Source organism: Homo sapiens, chromosome 4, assembly GCF_000001405.40.
Source record: "Homo sapiens chromosome 4, GRCh38.p14 Primary Assembly".
NCBI lineage: Eukaryota > Metazoa > Chordata > Mammalia > Primates > Hominidae > Homo > Homo sapiens.
The window spans coordinates 1,615,868-1,635,471 of NC_000004.12; the positions used below are offsets into that span (position 1 = coordinate 1,615,868).

At 58.5% G+C, this 19,604-nt stretch overlaps 1 protein-coding gene and 1 long non-coding RNA gene across 9 annotated transcripts in view, besides 1 other annotated feature; both read right to left on the reverse strand.

Moving 5' to 3' along the window:
• Positions 1-19,604, reverse strand: part of FAM53A (family with sequence similarity 53 member A) — a 111,956-nt gene that overhangs the window by 41,806 nt on the left and 50,546 nt on the right. For 7 of the 8 annotated variants that reach the window (XM_047449670.1, XM_047449666.1, XM_047449669.1 and 4 more), the window contains one exon: positions 715-2,244. The exons of the other annotated variant lie outside the window; for it this stretch is intronic. In XM_047449670.1, the coding sequence (XP_047305626.1) occupies positions 2,206-2,244 (39 nt within the window). In that variant the 3' untranslated portion in view covers positions 715-2,205. Of the gene's footprint in view, positions 1-714; positions 2,245-19,604 lie in introns of those variants that run through there. 8 annotated transcript variants of the gene reach the window in all.
• Positions 11,447-13,418, reverse strand: LOC105374349 (uncharacterized). The gene is made up of 3 exons (XR_925052.3): positions 13,085-13,418; positions 12,069-12,150; positions 11,447-11,815 (listed from the first exon to the last, which is right to left on the reverse strand). It is a non-coding gene; the product is annotated as an uncharacterized LOC105374349 (long non-coding RNA).
• Positions 13,246-13,385: an enhancer, noted in NCBI's record as "active region_21154". NCBI's record gives its function as "activates an Ori minimal core promoter by ATAC-STARR-seq in GM12878 lymphoblastoid cells {active_cell/tissue: GM12878}" and the evidence as "EXISTENCE:reporter gene assay evidence [ECO:0000049][PMID:35858748]".

Below are 19,604 nucleotides of genomic sequence, written 5' to 3' on the forward strand. Positions count from 1 at the left end.
AGACAGAGCAGCGACGTTAGGGCAGGGGCTGGGCAGGGATGGGCAAGGCTGTGGATGGCGATGTTTCAGAGACATCCGTTTGGCTGTTTCAACAGAGACCAACCTGCCACAGCTCAAGGGGCCTCCTGCCTGTCATCACCCCTGGGTGCTGGGCCAGCCACTGTGTGAGAGATTCTGGGATTCCAGGAAGGAAGGATGGGGGATGTTGGATGCAGTAAGCAGGTTCTGGTGCAGGAAATCAAGACACCGGCAAGACGAAGGGGTGGGCACAGCCAGGAGAGGAAGCATGTGAGACTGCGGAGCGACATGAGATGCAAAATCAAACACAAAATAAAACCACAAAATGAAACAAACCCAAAATAAAGCAAGTCACAGGACACATCAGCACTGCTGATGAAGACAGTGCCAGGAGCCCAGGAGCGGCTCACTCAGCCAGGCACGCAGGTCCCCACGGCCAAGGTTGGAAGCGGGGAGGTCCCACCCCTCCCTACTGAGCCCAAGGGCCATCAAGAGGGGCCAAGCAAGTTGGCGCCCAGCAGGCTGGATGACACGGGAGCCGAGCCATGATTGCGCCACTGCACTCCAGCCCGGGTGTCACAGTGAGACTCCATCTCACTGCACTCCAGCCTGGGTGTCACAGCGAGACTCCGTCTCACGTCTCAAAACAACAACAACAACAAAACTAAAACTGTGACTATTCTAGGAAAACACATGTTTAAAAGGCAAAATAGTTTATTTGAGCAAATACATTCTTGAATTGAGCAGCTGCAAACCAGAAGTGGTTGAGGGAATGCAGGGTGAAGGCTTTGATAAGAAGGATGCAGAAGTAAACCAAAGAAAAGCTTGGATTGGTGACAGTCACACTGTTGCCTGCTTCGGTCTGTCCCGCGGAGAAGCCTTAGTTATGTAAGTTTCTTGGCTGCTTTGGCTGGCTGAGCTTCAGCTCTGTTTTTCTTTAATATAGGCTCAAATTAAGTTTCACTTATGGGCTGGGCACCGTGGCTCATGCCTGCAATCCCGGCACTCTGGGAGGCCGAAGCAGGTGGATCACTTGAAATCAGGAGTTCAAGACCAGCTGGGCCAACAGGGTGAAACACCATCTCCACAAAAAATACAAAAATTAGCCAGGCACGGTGGTACGTGTCTGTTGTCCCAACTACTAAGGAGGCTGAGGCAGGAGAATCACTTGAACCCAGAGGGCGGAGGTTGCAGTGAGCTGAGATAGCACCACTGCACTCCAGGCAACAGAGGGAGACTCCATCTTGAAATTTTAAAAAAAAGTTTCATTTATATTTACAAATCAAGCAAGGTTGACAACACTCATGAGGCCTGCATGTTTTGTCTGCTCAGTCTCCATTTTAACTTAACTTTAGCAAACAGGAGAGTATCTTCATGACTTTGGGATCATGTGTTGAGTTATTTATCTGTTGAGCTATTTATGGTGTTTCTGAGTACATCTCTTCATCCACTTTTTTAGTTGCTGTTCTAGGTTATTACTTATACGTGGCTCATGACAGTTTGCCGGTGTTGACATTTTACCAGCTTCAGGGAAGTGCTGAAGCCTTCCCTCCCTGGTGTCCATTTAGTTCCCCACCTATAACATATCATAAACATTTCCTTTACATTTATCAAGAATCACATCAGTCGGTATTCTAATTTTTTTCTTCAACCATCACACATAATTTAGGAAACTCAAGAGGAGAAGGAAACCTATTATGTTCACTCATAATTCTGCCTACTGCGCTCTTTCTTCCTTCCTGATGTTCCAAGGTTTCTTCTTTCACTGTTTCCATTTCTGTTCCGAGACCTGCCTTAGCCACTCTTTTTTAGGTCCGCTGGTGACAAACACGCTTGGTTTTCCTTCATCTGAGGATGTCTTGACGCCCCTTTCATTCCTGAACGGTCTTCTCACTGGGTATAGCATTCTGGGTTGACGGTTCTCTTTCAGCGGTGAGGACAGCAGAGCCTCAGGCCTGAGGGTGCCTGCGCCCACCCCTTGAAGGGAGCGCCTGCATGTCAGGAGCACCCAGGAGCAGTCGGCAGCTGCTGGTGAGCAGCAGCAACTCCTTCACCAAGAGAGAAGTCGCTGCGATGGTGCCACCACAACAGAACTGACGTGTGTCACGAATGCTTGGCATAGAGCCGACCAGTGAGGAGACGGCTGTCAGATGCCGTGAAGATGGGAAGATGGAGGGCCGTGCTATGTCATGGCAACATACTTGGTGAAACAGTCCGTGAGGCAACCTGGAAGGAAGACAGAGGCAGGTGAGTGCTGCCTCTTGGGGAAGAAGTAGAACCAGAAGACAGGGCACGTGCTGCCTCGCAGAGACAGTGAGGCTGGCCTTGAGCCCGAAGGCCCATCACGGCAGGGGTGCATCCAGGCTGTGGCCCCCAGGTGGCCACCCTCAGTGGGGATGGCATGGGAAAGTGTGTCTGAGGGTAGGCGGGTGAGTGAATGGCCAAAGACCTGGCCAGAATCCCAGGAAAACCAGGCCCGGACTGGAACACCAGTAACTGTTGGGGCCTGACCACAGCTCCAGGCCCAAATGTCCCTGGGTGGGAAGTGGGCTGGTACCACAGCCGGGCCCCCAGGGCCCCCTTCAGACAGCCCCAGACAGGTGAGCAGGGATGGGAGGCAGAGTCTCCTGGCCCTGCTGTGCCCACCTGGAGGTGTGGGCTGGAGCTGCATGGGGACGGCAGCTCTGGGGAAGGAAGACGGGAGGGGAGGCTGTTTGGCAGCCTGAGGGGTGGACTGTGGCTCATGGCTGTGGCCGCCAAAGATGCCTTTCCCTTCTGGGCTGAAGCGATTCCATGCCGCCGGCCTCCCAGGCCATGGGGTATGGCCAGGAAAACGTGGCTGGAGGGATGGGACCCAGCCACAGAACCAGCCATGCGGGCCTGTGTGCAACCCCAGCACCATCCCAGCGGGGGAATGCCACCGCACAGATAAGCCAGCCCCGACCCCCAGCCCCCGACCCCCAGCCCTCTCACTGGGCTGGGCTGAGGCCTCCACGGCCCCCCGAGGGCTCAGGGCTTATCTGCGGCAGCCACAAGCTCACCTCAGTGAACACAGCACAGAAACACATCAACCTGCACCCAACCCAGCAACGCTGCTCCACGCTGCCAACAAGACGGGGAAGGGGATGCCGCAGAGCGTCCACAGGTGAGAGCTGGGGGTCCACTGAGCCCCCACCCCAAAGCAGCCCACATAACGGCCTGGGCTCTCTTCCTCCTGGGGTCAAAGACAGGCAGGCTCTGGGCCCACGCTGCTCACCCATCCTCCCTGAGCTCCAGCACCTTCTAAGTGAAGCAGGTTACTAACGAGTCACTGAACTTTGCAGCCACAGGCTGAGGCAGGAGCTGCCAGGATCCCACCTTGTGGCGAGCGGCCCCTTACCACTGCCCGGGGCTGGGCAAACACGGAGCTGGAGAGGGAACGGCACGCACTGCCAGGGCGGCCAACGACCCGGCCTCACCAGGGCAGGCAAGGCAGGAGGGCAGAGGCCAGGGCCAGCTGGTGGCGCGCATGGAGGGGTATGGCAGGCATGGCCTGGGCTCCCTTGCCCAGCTCGGCGTCTCTGGGGTTGGCCCACTTCAGGACTGGCCGGCCTTCCCGCCCTGTTCCCAGACTCATGCACCTGTGGACATGGGCACTTTCCTCCAAGCCGCATCTCCCTCCCGCACCAGGTGCTGGCCTATCTCTGGGTCTATACCCTGCAATCGGCTTCTCAGGTCTTCACCCCCCGGCCTCCCGTGACCACCCCCGCCCTTCATCTCCAGCGTCTCTGACTCACGCACCGGGCACCGGCCTTGCGCTTTGTCTTTTACTACAGATCCCAGTTCTGCTGTGCATTGGAGCTCCATTTGTACCACTCAGGGCCCTGGCAGGAATGGGGGTTCACGGCGTCCACACGCAAAGCCCTGTCCTGGGCATGTCAGGTCCCTTTCGCCCACACTGGCACCTGGATCTGCTTCACTTCATCTGCCCTGCGATCATCTAAGCTGTCCTCTCTCGCCTCATGGTCTCCACATTTCCTTATACTTTATTAAAAAACAAGTCAGCCGGGCGTGGTGGCTCACGCCTGTAATCCCAGCACTTTCGGAGGCTGAGGTGGGCAGATCACAAGGTCAGGAGTTCGAGACCAGCCTGGCCAATATGGTGAAACCCCGTCTCTACTAAATATACAAAAATTAGCCGGGCGTGGTGGCGGGCAGCTGTAGTCCCAGTACTGGGGAGGCAGAGGCAGGAGAATCGCTTAAACCTGGGAGACAGAGGTTGCAGTGAGCTGAGATCGTGCCACTGCACTCCAGGCTGGGTGACAGAGTGAGACTCTGTCTCAAAAAAAAAAAAAATTAATTAATTAAAAATAAATAAATAAATAAATAAAATGTCATCTTATTTCCCATAACAGACCTTTCTCAAGTGTGCCTGGACACAGCTGTGGAAGGAAATGGCCCCTCCTCCGCAGACATCCCACAGAAGCACCTGAGCTCTGTCTTCTCACTTTGTCTTGGAGCAAGGGAGGCCTTTCCGGGAGTTGTTTCCACAGAGGGGGGATTCTCTTTGGTTCCTGCCACAGTCAGGAATTGTACTGGCTGCATACAAAACACCATCACCACCAACAGGACCGTCATCACTACCACCACCATCAGCAATGCCAAAAACCTACAAAAGCACCACCACATAGGACGCCTGTAATCCCAGCTACTTGGGAGGCTGAACCCAGGAAGTGGAGGTTGCAGTGAGCTGAGACTGCGCCACTGCATTCAAGCCCAGGTGACACTGCAAGACTCTGTCTCACAAAAAAAAAGAAAAAGAAAGAAAGAAAAAACACCACCACCACCACCACCACCAAAAACAAAAACAATGATGAAAACATCAACAGAAATAACATCACTGCCAACAACAACAACATAAGCAACAGCAACACCAAAACACAACACTGCCATCAACACGGTAGCAGCAACCACAGCAAAAGTCAACTTCTCTCTCATGAGACCAGAGTTGGAGGTGGCCATGCCAGGCTGGGATCGGGTCCCCAGGGTCACCACATACGTAGGCAACCTCTGGCTTTTTTCTGCTCCACCTCCTCGCATGTGGCTTCCTGCCCAAGGTCACCTCATGGTTCAAATGGCTGCCAGAGCCCCAGCCATCACGCCTCAGTTTCAGGAAGCAAGAAAGAAGGAACACAAAGAACAGGGGACCCTTTTCCTAGCTGAGTCAGCTACGCTACTTTTTTTTTTTTTTTTTTTTTGAGATGGAGTCTCGCTGTCACCCAGGCTGGAGTGCAGTGGCACAATCTCGGCTCACTACAGGCTCCGCCCCCCAGGGTTCATGCCATTCTCCTGCCTCAGCCTCCCGCATAACTGGGACTACAGGCGCCCGCCACCTCACCCGGCTAATTTTTTGTATTTTTTAGTAGAGACGGGGTTTCACCATGTTAGCCGGGATGGTCTCGATCTCCTGACCTCGTGATCCACCCGCCTCGGCCTCCCAAAGTGCTGGGATTACAGGCATGAGCCACCGCGCCCGGTCAGTCGGCTACTTTTAAGGAGTCTTCCTGAAAGTCCTGTCTAACACTTTCACTCACATCTCATCAGACAGAACTTAGTCACATGGCCACACTCCACTGCAAGGAAGGTTGGGAGGTGGGGCCCAGCAGCTTGGGGTGGGGGACAGTGGGGTGGATCTGCCGCCACCCAGCCTCCACAGCGGGGAGCGAAGATGGTGAGGGAATCAGGATTAGCTCCACTGGGTCCTGTCCCAGGTCACGGAGGCAGTGCCAGCCCCTCCCACTGGACTGGGGCAGTCCCCCCATCCAAGGCTGTCACAAGGTCCCTGCCTTCCCCAGCTCTGAGACCCCAGCCTGGGTCTGCAGGAACCAGCAGGTCACACAGAGCAGGCTGAACGTCTGGCCCGTGCCGTCCCTGGCACCGTGTTGGGGGAATATCCCTGCGGCCATGGGGCTCCCCACCCACTGTGGGGTGAATGCGTCCCCCAAGGCTCATGTGTTGGAAACCTGATCCCCACAGTGGTGGTGTGGGGAGGTGGGACCTGATGGGAAGTGTTTGGGTCGGACGGCACCGCATTCATGAACGAATCGATGCTGCTGTCTTGGGAACGGGGCACATATTAAAGGGCAGGTTCCGACCCCATCTGCTCTCTCGCCTTCCTCCTTCCCCTCTGCCCTCTGCCACCTGACGACACAGCAAGAGACCCTCCAGATGCGGCTGCGCAATCTGGGACTTCCCAGCCTCCAGAAACTTGAGCCCGCCGACCCCTGTTCACGATCAGTTACCCAGACACGGTGCCGTTACAGCAGCAGCACGGAGAGAGGCAGGACCCGGAGTCACATCAGGATGCCAGCCTCGGCTCATACTCTCCAGCCAGCGTGACGGTCAGAGTGCAGCCCCCAGTGTGGGGGTGACGACAGGGGCAGAACAAAGGCGGCTGCTTCCCTAGGAGTCACTGCAGCAGGAGCCCCCCGGCTGAAGGTGGATCTGGCTGGGGTGGGCACCTTCCCTGGGGACTCCTTTGTGGCCCCTCAGGCTTCCAGCCAGGCCCTGGCCCCACGGCCCCTCCCATGACCTCCTTCCACTGGGCTCCTCCTCCCTCCCAGGGCACTGCCGCTGAGGGGCCGCCCCACCAGCCCTGCCCTGTGACTGGCAGTACAGCCGGCCCTCTGTGCCCGTTTTAAATGGCCTCAGACACACAAACAGGGGCAGAGGGGCAGGGTCTCCAGCCCTGCATGCCCATTTGGGGGTCTGGCGGGGGCTGTGAGGGGACGGTGGAGCTCTGGGCTGGCTCGCTCGGGGAGGGAGGTCGGGAACAGCGGCTGTTTGGCTGGGCCCAGGCTGGGAGTCAGATCCTGCCCGCAGCCATCTCTGCCTCCCTCAGACTCAGGCACCACATTTCCAAGCCCTCCAAAGGTCTCCTGAAGCCCCCACCAGGCCTGAGGCCAGAAGCAACCACCCTCTGCCTCGAGGGGCCCCTGCCAGGGACAGGATAAGTCAGCACCAAGGGGAAGGGGAGGCCACACGCACACGGCCAGCATGAACCTCACGCTTTGCCTGGGCCTCCCGCGTGTCCCTCCCTAAACCACAGATGGAGGCAACCTACGATCGCTCTTGTGCCCATGGGGAAACGAAGGCACAGGCGCTGAAGCAGCCCCCACGGTCACAGGGCTGACAGTGGCACCTGAGGCTCTGTGCCTCCCACTGTGGCCACCAGCCCGGCATGCGGTCCCCCACGCTGAGCAGCAGAAAGTATGGCAGGTCCAGCCCTCCAGCAGTCCACGGCCAGGGCCCTGGCATGCCCGCTCCAGGACGGGGACATCAGCGGTAGAGGAGACTGTGTCCAGCTGCAGGTGGACCCTGAGATGGGCCCAAGCTCCCCCGACGTGAAAGGCAGCTGCTCCGTCCTGGGCAGCACCTTCCTCAGGAAGAGGCCTGGCTCCTGCTGCCACCCCCACCCCCACCGCAGCCCCGGGAGAGGAGGCTGTGGCAGCCTCAAGCAGAGTTGCGTTTCCGGCCCCCGAGGGATGGCAGCTGTGAGGCTTGGCCACGGTCTCAGGCCACCAGGCCCCCGGGCTCGCCAGCGCTTTCACCGGATGGCCACCGGCTGGGCAGTTCTCGGGAGTCCACTTGGTCACCCGCTGCAGGGCTGCCCGCCTTCCCCGGCGGCCTGGCCGGCCCCTCCTGCGGTGGGTGGCGGCTGCACGGTGACCTTGCGGTAACCCAAGTGCCATCCGTCAGCAGACGGCCGCCCGCTCCGGAACACGGCGGCAGCTCATCTGAATTCAAATTACCCCGGGAGCCGCGCGATGCCAGCCATAACTCAGCCTGCGGAGGAGTGCGGCCGCCGCGGATCGGACGTTACCATACATTCCCGGGGCGTCGGACAGGGCTGCTAATGAAAATATCAATCAAAAACTTGCCTGACTTAATGGTCAATTTAAATTAATTAATTGGGGAGGAGAAAAAAGTTGAGGAGGGTGGCGTTGATGGGCTCCCTCTCTGGCGGGCGGGGAGAAGTGGGTGCCCGGCTGGGCACAGCCCCCAGGCCAGGAGATGGGGCCAAGCCTCCCCCGGGACCCTGGGGCATACCTGAGGGCCCAGGGGCCATGCCTGCCTGGGGCGGGTGTGAGGCCTGAGATTCCCGTCCCACATTTCTGGGCAGGCTGTGGGTGGCCTGTCCTACTCCAGCTGTGTCGTCTGCAGGGACCACTGGTGGCCAGGTGCCCCCTCCCTGAGGCATAGAAGAGCCCCTTGCTCAGTGGGGCCAGGGAGGGCTGGCATTGTGGGCATGGGCATGGGCCACGACTGGCTCAGGTCCCTGGGCCTCATCTTGTCTGTGACACAGTGGCCATGTCCACTGCCCAGCACTTCGCAGGGCCCACGGCAGGCAGGGTGGGGCTGGACGCAGGGCTCACCAGGGATGCCCCCAGGTCAGGCGCTGTGTCAAGGGAGACACAGGTATCCCTGCTTCATAGTGGAGAAACTGAGGCTCTGAGGGGGACTGGTGCTTCAAGAGGCAGAAAGCGCCGTGACCCCCCGAACCACAAATGTGACAGTGCGGAGGCTGACGGGTCATCCAGGAGTGAGACGGAGAAAGGAACAAGGCCCAGAAGGACGGCAGGGGTGACTGCGCAGGGACTCCAGGGCCCCCATTCCAGGCAAAACCTGTAGGAAGATTCCCACTCAGCCCCTCTGGAGACATCTACATCCTCAAAGGCAATAACAGAACCCTCCGCGCAAACCAAAGGTGAGGACTCACAGCCAGGCCAGCCCGCCTCCCCGCCACCACGCCAGGTACCGCCACGCTGCGGGTCTGGCTGAGAAGGCACCTGGAATTCTGTCCCAGATGCTGTGTTTCACGCCAGATGACAGCAAAGCTCTCCCCTGACATGCGGGCACACTCCAGACTCCCCCAGAGGCCCTCCTGGAAGAACCACTCAAGGACCCAAGGGCCCAAAAGGCATCAGAAGGTCCTATGTCCCGGCCCACGTGGTCAGGGGTCACACCAGGTGATCAGAAGCCCCCACGTCCCGGCCCACGTGGTCAGGGTCACGCCAAGTGATCAGAAGCCCCCACGTCCCGGCCCACGTGGTCAGGGGTCACACCAGGTGATCAGAAGGCCCCACGTCCCAGCCCACGTGGTCAGGGTCACGCCAGGTGATCAGAAGGCCCCACGTCCCGGCCCACGTGGTCAGGGTCACGCCAGGTGATCAGAAGCCCCCACGTCCCGACCCACGTGGTCAGGGGTCACACCAGGTGATCAGAAGGCCCCACGTCCCGGCCCACGTGGTCAGGGGTCACACCAGGTGATCAGAAGGCCCCACGTCCCAGCCCACGTGGTCAGGGTCACGCCAGGTGATCAGAAGGCCCCACGTCCCGACCCACGTGGTCAGGGGTCACACCAGGTGATCAGAAGGCCCCACGTCCCGGCCCACGTGGTCAGGGGTCACACCAGGTGATCAGAAGGCCCCACGTCCCGGCCCACGTGGTCAGGGTCACGCCAGGTGATCAGAAGCCCCCACGTCCCGACCCACGTGGTCAGGGTCACACCAGGTGATCAGAAGGCCCCACGTCCCGGCCCACGTGGTCAGGGTCACACCAGGTGATCAGAAGGCCCCACGTCCCGGCCCACGTGGTCAGGGGTCACACCAGGTGATCAGAAGGCCCCACGTCCCGGCCCACGTGGTCAGGGTCACGCCAGGTGATCAGAAGCCCCCATGTCCCGACCCACGTGGTCAGGGTCACGCCAGGTGATCAGAAGGCCCCACGTCCCGACCCACGTGGTCAGGGTCACGCCAGGTGATCAGAAGGCCCTACGTACCAGCCCATGTGGTCAGGGTCACGCCAGGTGATCAGAAGGCCCCACGTCCCGGCCCACATGGTCAGGGTCACGCCAGGTGATCAGAAGGCCCCACGTCCCGGCCCACGTGGTCAGGGTCACGCCAAGTGGAGCCTTGGGGGAGACTGAAGCCACCGCCCTGGCCAGCACAGGTCATGTCTGGGCAGCCAGGAGCTGTCCAGAGACCCCAGAGGCAGGTTCAGCGGGTGGGATCTGGGCTTCCAACCCCTTCCCCAGGATCCGCCCATCAGAATCCTCCACAGGATCCTCTGCAGAGCCTTCCAGGAGGCGGCCCAGCATGTTTTTCCTGCCCCGACTCGGTGTGGCTGCCTGCCAGGGTGCAGGGGAAGTGGTGTGAGCCCCTGCCGTCCTTCTGGGCCTTGTTCCTGTCTCCATCTGGCTCCTGGATGACCCTGGTGCATAGGGCTTTCGTCTTGTGCTCTGCCCACACCAGGAGCAGAGCAAGCCAGGGGCGGTTGGCCCAGGAGGAGGAGGTAGGGGTCAGGCCGGACCTTACCCCAAGCTGAGCCCAAGTGACTACAGCTGCATGGAGCATGAACAGACGGTGGCCGTCACGAGCCGTCCACGTGGGCTTTCCTTCCACAGCATCTCACAGCAGAAGCTGACCCAGACAGCAGAGCCCAGGGAGCCCGACGCAGACCAGAGGCTGCCAGTCACACAGAACAGGAAGAACCCCGATCACCAGACCCAGCGGGGAAGTCGGGGAGGACCCAGTGTAGACTCTCAGCCACGGCCATGCCCTGAGCCCGGGGGGACCAGGGGAGGACCCGGGACAGTGTAGACTCTCAGCCACAGCCATGCCCTGAGCCCGGGGGGACCCGGGGAGGACCTGGGACAGTGTAGACTCTCAGCCACAGTGATGTTTTGCATCTGGGGGACCCGGGACAGTGTAAACTCTCAGCCACGGCCATGCCCTGAGCCCGGGGGGACCCGGGGAGGACCCGGGACAGTGCAGACTCTCAGCCACAGTGATGTTTTGAGTCTGGGGGACCCAGGACAGTGTAGACTCTCAGCTACAGCCATGCCCTGAGCCCAGAGACTCAGCCTGGCAGTGCCAACACACAGCCCTGAGTCTCCATCACAAACCCACCCACTGTTCATCCAACTGATTGAGCCCCTGGCCAGGGCTCAATCACAGGTTCTGTGGCCTGTATGTGGGGAGGGGCCAGCCCTCCCCCAGCCTCCAGATGGAGAGGGTGGGGGCCTGGCCTGGAGGCTGCCTGAGGGCAGGGGCTGTGGGACAGGACAGACTAAGGCTTGGCAAAGAGTGGCAACCATGGGCCCAGTGAGGCCAGCCAGAGGCACAGGACCAAGCGTGGCCATGTGGACGCAGGCCAGGAGGGTGGGGCTTCGCTCCGGTGCCCCCAGGTCGGCCCCCAGGAAGCCGTCCAGCTTGGCCTTGCACCCTCACACACAGCCTCCCTCAGCCAACCAGGTCCCCACCGGCCCCAGCACTGGGCACTCAGGGCCCAGCCCAGCAGGAGAAGGGAACACGACCACTACCATTTGACCCCAAGGCACCCAGAGTGCTCAGGCAGGGCCTGATCCTGCTGAGGCCATGGTGGCCGCTTGGTTGGTGTTTCTGTTCCCTGAGTAGCTCACGCCCTCGGGTGACAGAGCAGCCGTGAACTGCCGACTGACGGATACACCTCCCGGAATGTTTATGGACCACAGTCACTTGTATAACCACGGGGCTGCTTACGCTGGAGACTCAGATGGAAAGCACCCTGGGGTGCCACACACACCCAGTCCCCTGCTTGGAGCCCACCTGGCCACAGCTCCCCAGCAGACCCTGCCAGGCTGACCCCTCCCCACAGCATGGTGGAGAGCTGGGGCTCCCATCCGCCGTGGGCCTGATCCTTCTTGTCCTCTCCACATTCTCCAGGGCAGAGACAGTGTCCACACTGGGGCCAAGTGGCCAAGAGCTGCAGCTGAGGCCTGCAGGGGAAGGGTGTCGGGGAGGAAGCCCAGGGCCAGAGGGTCCCACTCCCTCCCTCCACCACCCCCTTGCCCTCTGGCATGTGTCCCAGCAGCAGCCCCACCTGGGGGTCTCCACTCAGCAGGGCAGCCCCTCCAGAGGTCATGCAGGGGGCCTGGAGCTTGAGCCATGAGCCTCCCACCCACCATGAAGTGACTCTGGGAGAGACAGGCTCTGCTTGTGAGCTGATGCCCGCAGGCAAGTCCCATCTACCTTCAGGGTCCTCCTGTCAACGGCAGCATCCAGTGATGAGGCTGAGAGGATTCCATAGGCCCTGGGGTCAACCCACATGCACCTGGGTGGGGAGGGTGGCACGGGGGGAGGGTGCACCTCAGGGGGTGGGTGGCATGAAGGGAGGGTGCACCTGGGCGGGGAGGGTGGCACGGGGGAGGGCACGCACGTGGGCAGGGAGGGTGGCCCAGGGGAGGGTGTACCTGAACAGGGAGGGTGGCATAGGGGGAGGGTGGCACGGGGGGAGGGTGGCATGGGGGGAGGGTGTACCTGGACGGGGAGGGTGGCACGGGGGGAGGGTGCCACGGGGGGAGGGTGGCATGGGGGAGAGTGGCATGGGGGGGGTGGCATGGGGAGGGTGGCATGGGGGAGGGTGGCATGGGAGAGGGTGGCATGGGGGAGGGTGGCATGGGGGAGGGTGGCATGGCGGGAGGGTGGCACGGGGAGGGTGGCATGGCGGGAGGGTGGCACGGGGAGAGTGGCATGGCGGGAGGGTGGCATGGGGGAGGGTGGCATGGGGGGAGGGTGCACCTCGGGGGGTGCGTGGCACGAAGGGAGGGCGCACCTGGGCGGGGAGGGTGGCACGGGGGGAGGGTGGCATGGGGGGAGGGTGGCAGGGGGAGCATGCCACGGGGGGAGGGTGGCATGGGGGAGAGTGGCATGGGGAGGGTGGCATGGGGGGAGGGTGGCATGGGGGAGGGTGGCATGGTGGGAGGGTGGCACGGGAAGAGTGGCATGGCGGGAGGGTGGCATGGGGGAGGGTGGCATGGGGGAGTGGCATGGGGGGGAGGGTGCCATGGGGGGAGGGTGGCATGGGGGAGTGGCATGGGGGGAGGGTGCCATGGGGGGAGGGTGGCATGGGGGAGGGTGGCATGGGGGAGGTTGGCATGGGGGGAGGGCACACACTTGCACTAAGACTCCCCAGGCTTCGCCCACTGCAGGGTCCCCTACTCCGTAGCCCAAGATAAGGGGGCCTTGGAACACCTGAGTTTGAGTACCTTCTCCCCTGGGGCCCTGTGTGCCTTAAATCCACGATGAGTCCCCGTGACCGCGTGGTCTCCAGGAGGCAGGGGCCGTGGGGTTCTCCTCTCACCCACGTCCACCCCAGGATGTGCGCCATGCCTGCGTTGGGGGACAGCACCTCGATCCCCTCCAGGCGGATACCTCGCCCAGCCCAGCTGGGAAGAGGAAGGAGCAGGGTCCCTGGGGCACTAGAGTGGGCCAGACCCATGGTGGAGGGAGCCCCATCCCCACCGCACCTGGGACCCCAGGGGGTCTGCACTCTCCACCAGGACTCCAGGGCCCACAGAGGGAGGCCGAGGCTGTGGCCACCACCTAGAGTCAATCTCTGCTGCCACCCAGCGGCCTCCAGGGGAAGTGCGGGCGAAGCCTCAGGCCAGGCCAGACCACCCGGCAGCTGGGCCCGCCAGGGAAAGCGGAGCCTGGGGCCTCAGGACCCCTCTAGGGTGGCCCGAGTCAGTCCTGGGCCTCGACTGTGCCCTGGAGGCCTGGCCAGGGGGCAGTAGGAGACATGTCCGTCCTGAGGGCCACTGGCCATGGCCTTGGCCTGGGGTTGGGCCTGTCCAGGCTCCACCAGCTCTGGGCCACCCCCTCATCCTGCCTGTGGCTGCCCGCACGGGTCCTCAGCAGACAGGAGCTGCCCAGGGCTAAGGCAGGGCCTTGCCAGTGCCCAGCTTCAGTGAAGAGTACAAGGGGGACTCCCAGAGCAGGGCTCTCAGGCCCAGACTCAGCCCCTTGGGAAGAGGGACCCAACCTGGGGTCCCTTTGGGAGGCTGAGGCAGGAGGATCGTTTGAGTCTCCGAAGGCAGTTAGTCCCGGAAGCAGCTCTGAGAACAAGGCTGGGCCCACCCCGGCCCACCCACAGCTCATCTCTGTGGCCAGAGGGCTGGCCCAGCTCCACCACACACGGCCTCGCTGGGGACAGCCTGGGCCTCACACCCCGGCTTAAAGCTGTGGTTTATTCAGATGGGCCCTGGCCTGAGCAGATGCCGGATGGAGCTTCCCCTCTCCCAGACCTTCCCTTCTGTGCTCCCTTCCTCATCCTTCCCCATGTCCCCCTGCTTCCCCCTCCGCCCAGCACAAAAAGACCACAGTGAGACCCCGCTGGACACCTCACCCGGCTGCCTGCCTGCCAGGTGTGGTGAGGGTATGAGTCCTGGACAAGGGGACCAACTCCTCACACACAGGGGTAGGTCATCCCCTTCCAAGCTGTCGGAGCTGCCCACGAGGCAGGTGCACAAGACAGCCTGGCCCTGGTGCCACCTGCTGCAGGGGCCTGAGACACCCTGTCCTCTGAGCTGCCCGTGACCAGGGGGTCAGAGCCCACCTTGGTGTTGTGGCCCCCATGGTGTCTGCTGAGACCACTCACCTCTGCCACTGCAGCCGAAACAGCCACAGCCAAGGTCTACACAAATGCACGTCGGGGAGTTCCCATCAAACTCTACGGAAACAGGCCGCGTCTGTATGTGGCCAGTGGGCCGCGGTTTGCCGACCCCCAACTCATGGATCACGTGTCACGAATCGTGTATGGGGACACACAGGCAAGAGCAGGGTCTACAAAAATACACGCCCCGGGCCCCGTTCAGCCAGTCCGTCCCACACCTGAGGCAGGCTCAGCAATTCCCCTCAGCCTCACCGCCACTCCCAAGACAGGCCAGGAGCCTGCTCTAAACACCATCGTGGAAGCCAGACAGAAAAGGCCCGCACAGCATGATCCCACGTCTACGAAATGCCCAGCTCCACAGAGACAACAAGCGGAGGGGAGGCTGCCAGGGCAGGGCAGGGTGGGGAGCGCCCACTCGTGGGGAGGGGGCTCATTTGGGCGATGGGATAAAATGGTTTGGAACCAGAGAGAGGCGGTGTCTGCACCATCTCACGAATGTACTAAATGCCAGTTAACTGAACACTAAATTTTATGTTGAGGCTGGGCACCATGGCACGCGCCTGCAGTCCCAGCACTTTGGGAGGGTGAGGCAGGAGGACTGTTTGAGCCCCAGAGGTCAAGACTGCAGTGAGCCATGATCACACCACTGCACTCCAATCTTGGTGACTGGGGGAGACCCTGTCTCAAAAATAATATAATAATAAATTAATAAATGTATTAATACTAACAATAAAAACAATGTTTCCAATAAATTATTATAACACTTTAGAGGAGAAAGACTGGAGTCAGGATGGCTCTGACTCTGCCACCTGTCACTTGAGAGGCATACGACTTGGAGCGGGGCTGAGGCAGGCGGAGACCCTGCTTGGGGCTTCCCAGCAGCCTTTTGCCCCGGGAGCTGCAATAGCAGCGGTGGACAAGCCAGAGGCAGCCCCAGGCCTGCTGTGGGCAGCAAAGGTCTCCATCAACCCCATGTCCCAGGCAAGGCCAGGTCTCTGGGCCTCAGTGTGGGGCAGTGAGGCCAGCTTGCAGCCCAGGCCGTTCCCACACATGCTAACCTCTGAGAGTCCAGGGACAGCACTGTGGGGCTCCTGTGCCGGGCATTACGGCTTCCTGTCCCTGGAGTGTGTCCCCCGCTGCCTGGGAACTCCTCAGGGAAGGGCACACAGCAGTCCCAGGGAAACAGCCTCTGAGCTGAAGGCGCCCAACCACAGAGGGAAGGTGCCATATCCACGGTGCACTGGGCAGCCTCTGAGACGCCCCAGAGAAAGAGAGTGGGGAGACTGAGGCACCCTACAGAAGGAAAAAGCTATAGAAACACTGATTCAAGAAGCTAAAAAAAACAGCCAAATCAACCAGCAAACACGTGGAATAAACACACAGAAAAGCCGCTCCCACAGGCAACCCACTGAAAACCAAAAATACAGAGATCTTAAAAGCTTCCTGAGGACGGGGGACACATGATATACAAGGAAACAGCAACAAAAAAATTGCTCCTCACTTTTAAAAATTATCCAAGCCACGGCCAGGCATGGTGGCTCACGCCTGTAATCCCAACACTTTGGGAGGCCAAGATGGGTGGATCACTTGAGGTCAGGAGTCTGAGACCAGCCTGGCCAACATGATGAAACCCCGTCTCTAGTACAAATACAAAAAATTATAGGGGTGTGGTGGCACGTGCCTGTAATCCCAGCTACTCAGGAGGGTGAGGTAGGAGAATCGCTTGAACCCGGTAGGTGGAGGTCGCAGTGAGCTGAGATTACTCCACTGCACTCCAGCCTGGGTGACACAGTAAGATTCCATCTCAAAAAAAAAAAAAAAAAAGTTTAGTATTTGGAGATACGGTCTCTAAAGAGGTAGTTAGGGTTAAATAAGGTCACACGAGTCGGTCCTAATCTAATCTGACCTGTGTCCTCATAGGAAGAGGAAGAAGATGAGGACACAGACACACACAGAGAAACGACCACGTGCAGACAGGGAGATAGTGGCCGCCTTTGAACCACAGAGCGAGGCCCTGGGAGAAAGTGGCCCTCCTGATGCTTCCATCTCGGACTTCCAGCCTCCAGAACTGGGAGGAGAGACAGCTCTGCTGTTTAAGCCCACTGTGCAGTATTCTGACATGGACCCCCAAGAAGACCGACCCACAGATGACAAGAGAACTGTCACATGACCGTCTCAACAGACAACTAACAAATAATAAAAGCAACACCCATTCGTGACGTTTTATCATCTGCGCCCTTAGAGTAGAGCCACGGGGACAAAGCTGGAACGAAGCCTGAGTCCTCTCATCACCATCCTTGACTCAGCAGCCGTCTGAAGCCACAGAACGCTCCACAGGCGTGCATGCACGTGGGCAGTTTGCACGCCTGTGTATACACACCACGCAGGCACACACTACACAGTGCTCACACGTGTGCATATTATACAGTTGTACATGGACACACATGCCCATGTGCACACAGACCCACCTGCAAATACCTGTGGACACACAGTTACACGTGCACACACACAGGTACACTTACACACAGACTCCCATGCAGAAAATGTAGGCACACATGTAGTTATGCCTGTAGGCACATATGCACACACGTGCACAGACATACATGCATGTGCACAGGGCGCACGCAGGCATAGGTACACACTCGTGCTCACACGCATAGGTACACGCTCATGCTCACACGCATAGGTACATGCTCATGCGCACACACATAGGTACACGCTCATGTGCACACACATAGCTTTACACTCATGCTCACAAACATAGGTACTCATGCTCACACACATAGGTACACGTGCTCACATGCATAGGTACACTCATGCTCACACACACGAGCGCATATCTCCCTGCATTCCAAACGGTGAAACACTCACAGGCTTCATTATTTAAACCATAATTTACACCAATGCAATAAACCTAGAAATGAATGCAAAGGTCTAAAGAAGCAGCCAGATGATTTGAAAGTTTAGAAATGCTCTAAACAACTCCTGGGTCAGAGGGTAAATAAAATTCGCCTCAAGAGACGATTTTATAATTATATGGAAAGAGAAATTGCAGGTCCACGAAGCCAGATGGAGGAGGAGTTGGTGGAGAATTCACAACTTTAAATGCTTTTATTACTGAGCAAGAGAGACTGGAAATAAATGAACAAAATACTCGACACAGGAGGGAAAAACAACCATAAAGCAGATTCACGGGAGGCAGGAGAGGCGGGAATGAAGATAAAGGCAGAATTAATGAATTGGAAACAAGAAGAATGGGTGAGCCCATCAGTAAATCCAAGAGCCGGTTCTTCCCAATAAATAAATAAATAAAATAAGCAAGGCTCCAAGCATCTCATCAACAGAGCGGGGAAGCAAGGGAGCCCGGGACCGAGAGGGGATCAGAGCAGCCCAGGAGATTGAAAGTGACAGCTAATGCATTCGATATTCCTCACAAAACTGACCATTCTCCAAGAACATATACATTACCAGAATTAACTTAAAGAGGTTTTAAAAAAAAAATCTATATCCATAACTGCAGGAAAAGAGAAAAGGGGGCATGACTGGGGGGTCTGGCTACAGGACCTCACTTCCTGTTCAGCACCAACGCAGAACCCACCATTCAGGGCAATGAGGCTGTGGCTGGGGGAGCGCCCGGGGTTTCAGGGACACCCGGGAGGACCAGCAGAACACCAGGAGGGGCCCAGGGAGGGGCTCTCTGGCAGTGAGTAGCAGGTGGCAGAGGGAGTGCGGGGTTTGCAGCCTGTGAGGGAACCGGGGCCTCTTCACTGGCTGTCCGGGAAACTGGATTGGAGCCCACAGTGGACTCTGCCTGCCTGTGACCCTGACCTCGGGGTGTGGCAGGAGGTGTCTAAGCTGCTTCGTGCAAACAGGACTCCCCTGTATGGGGTCCAGTGGAGACAGGGCAGGGTGGGCAGGAGGGAAGAGGTCTCTGCTGAGGGCTCCTGTTACCCTCTGAGCTCCATCCCTGCCCCCACAACCCCTCCACACCCGTCCACACACACAGAGGAAAGCAGGGAAGGGGCAGAGTCAGCCCTGAGGTCTAATACAGCTCTCAGGGCCACCACCTCGGCCACCATGTTCAGCCATCAACCAGCAGCTCCCTCCCCTGTTCCCATCTGGTTTCACATCAAGATCATACGTGCCTGGGACATAATTTGGGCACGGTCTTTTTTTTCCATTCTCTGAACGGAATTATGAAAGGCTGGAATTTCCTCCCTTATGCATTTTGTGGAGGTTGTCTATAAAATCATCTGGGGGCCAGGCATGGTGGCTCACGCCTGTAATACCAGAACTTTGGGAGGCCAAGGTGGGTGGATCACCTGAGGTCAGGAGTTCAAGACCAGCCTGGCCAACATGGTGAAACCCCGTCTCTACTAAAAACACAAAAAAATTAGCCAGGCATGGTGGTGCGCGCCTGTAATCCCAGTTACTCGGGAGGCTGAGGCAGGGGAACTGCTTGAACCCAGGAGACAGAGATTGCAGTGAGTCAAGATCACACCACTGCACTCCAGCCTGGGCAACAAGAGAGAAACTCTGTCTCAAAAAAAAAAAAATAAAAAAATAAAATCATCTGGGGCTGAGGCTTTCTTTGCAGGAAGATTTTAAACTACTGTTTCATTCTGGTAAGTGGCTGCAGGACTATTTACAGGTTCTCTTTCTCCTTGAGTCAGTTTTTAGCAATTTTTTCCAGGAATTTGTCTGTTTCCTCTAAGTCATTCATAATATCCTCTATCTTTATAATCCAGACTGCATCTCTAGTTCTGCCTCTCTTTTCATTCCCAGTAGTATTTATTTGCTCATTCTCCCCTTTTCTCAATTAAGCTAAAAGACTTTTGCCAGTTATTTGGTCTCACAAAGAAAACCTTGTGGGTCTTCTCCGCTGTGGCTTTGTTGTCAGTTTCATTCATTTCTGGGTTTTGTTTTGTTTTTTTGAGACAGGGTCTCGCACTGTCATCCAGGCTGGAGTGGAGTAGTGTGATCTTGGCTCACTGCAGCCTCAACCTCCGGGACTCAAACAATCTTCCCACCTCAGCCTCCTAAGAAGCTGGTACTACAAGCATGAGCCACCACACCCAACTAATTTTTTTATTTTTAGTAGAGACGAGGTCTTG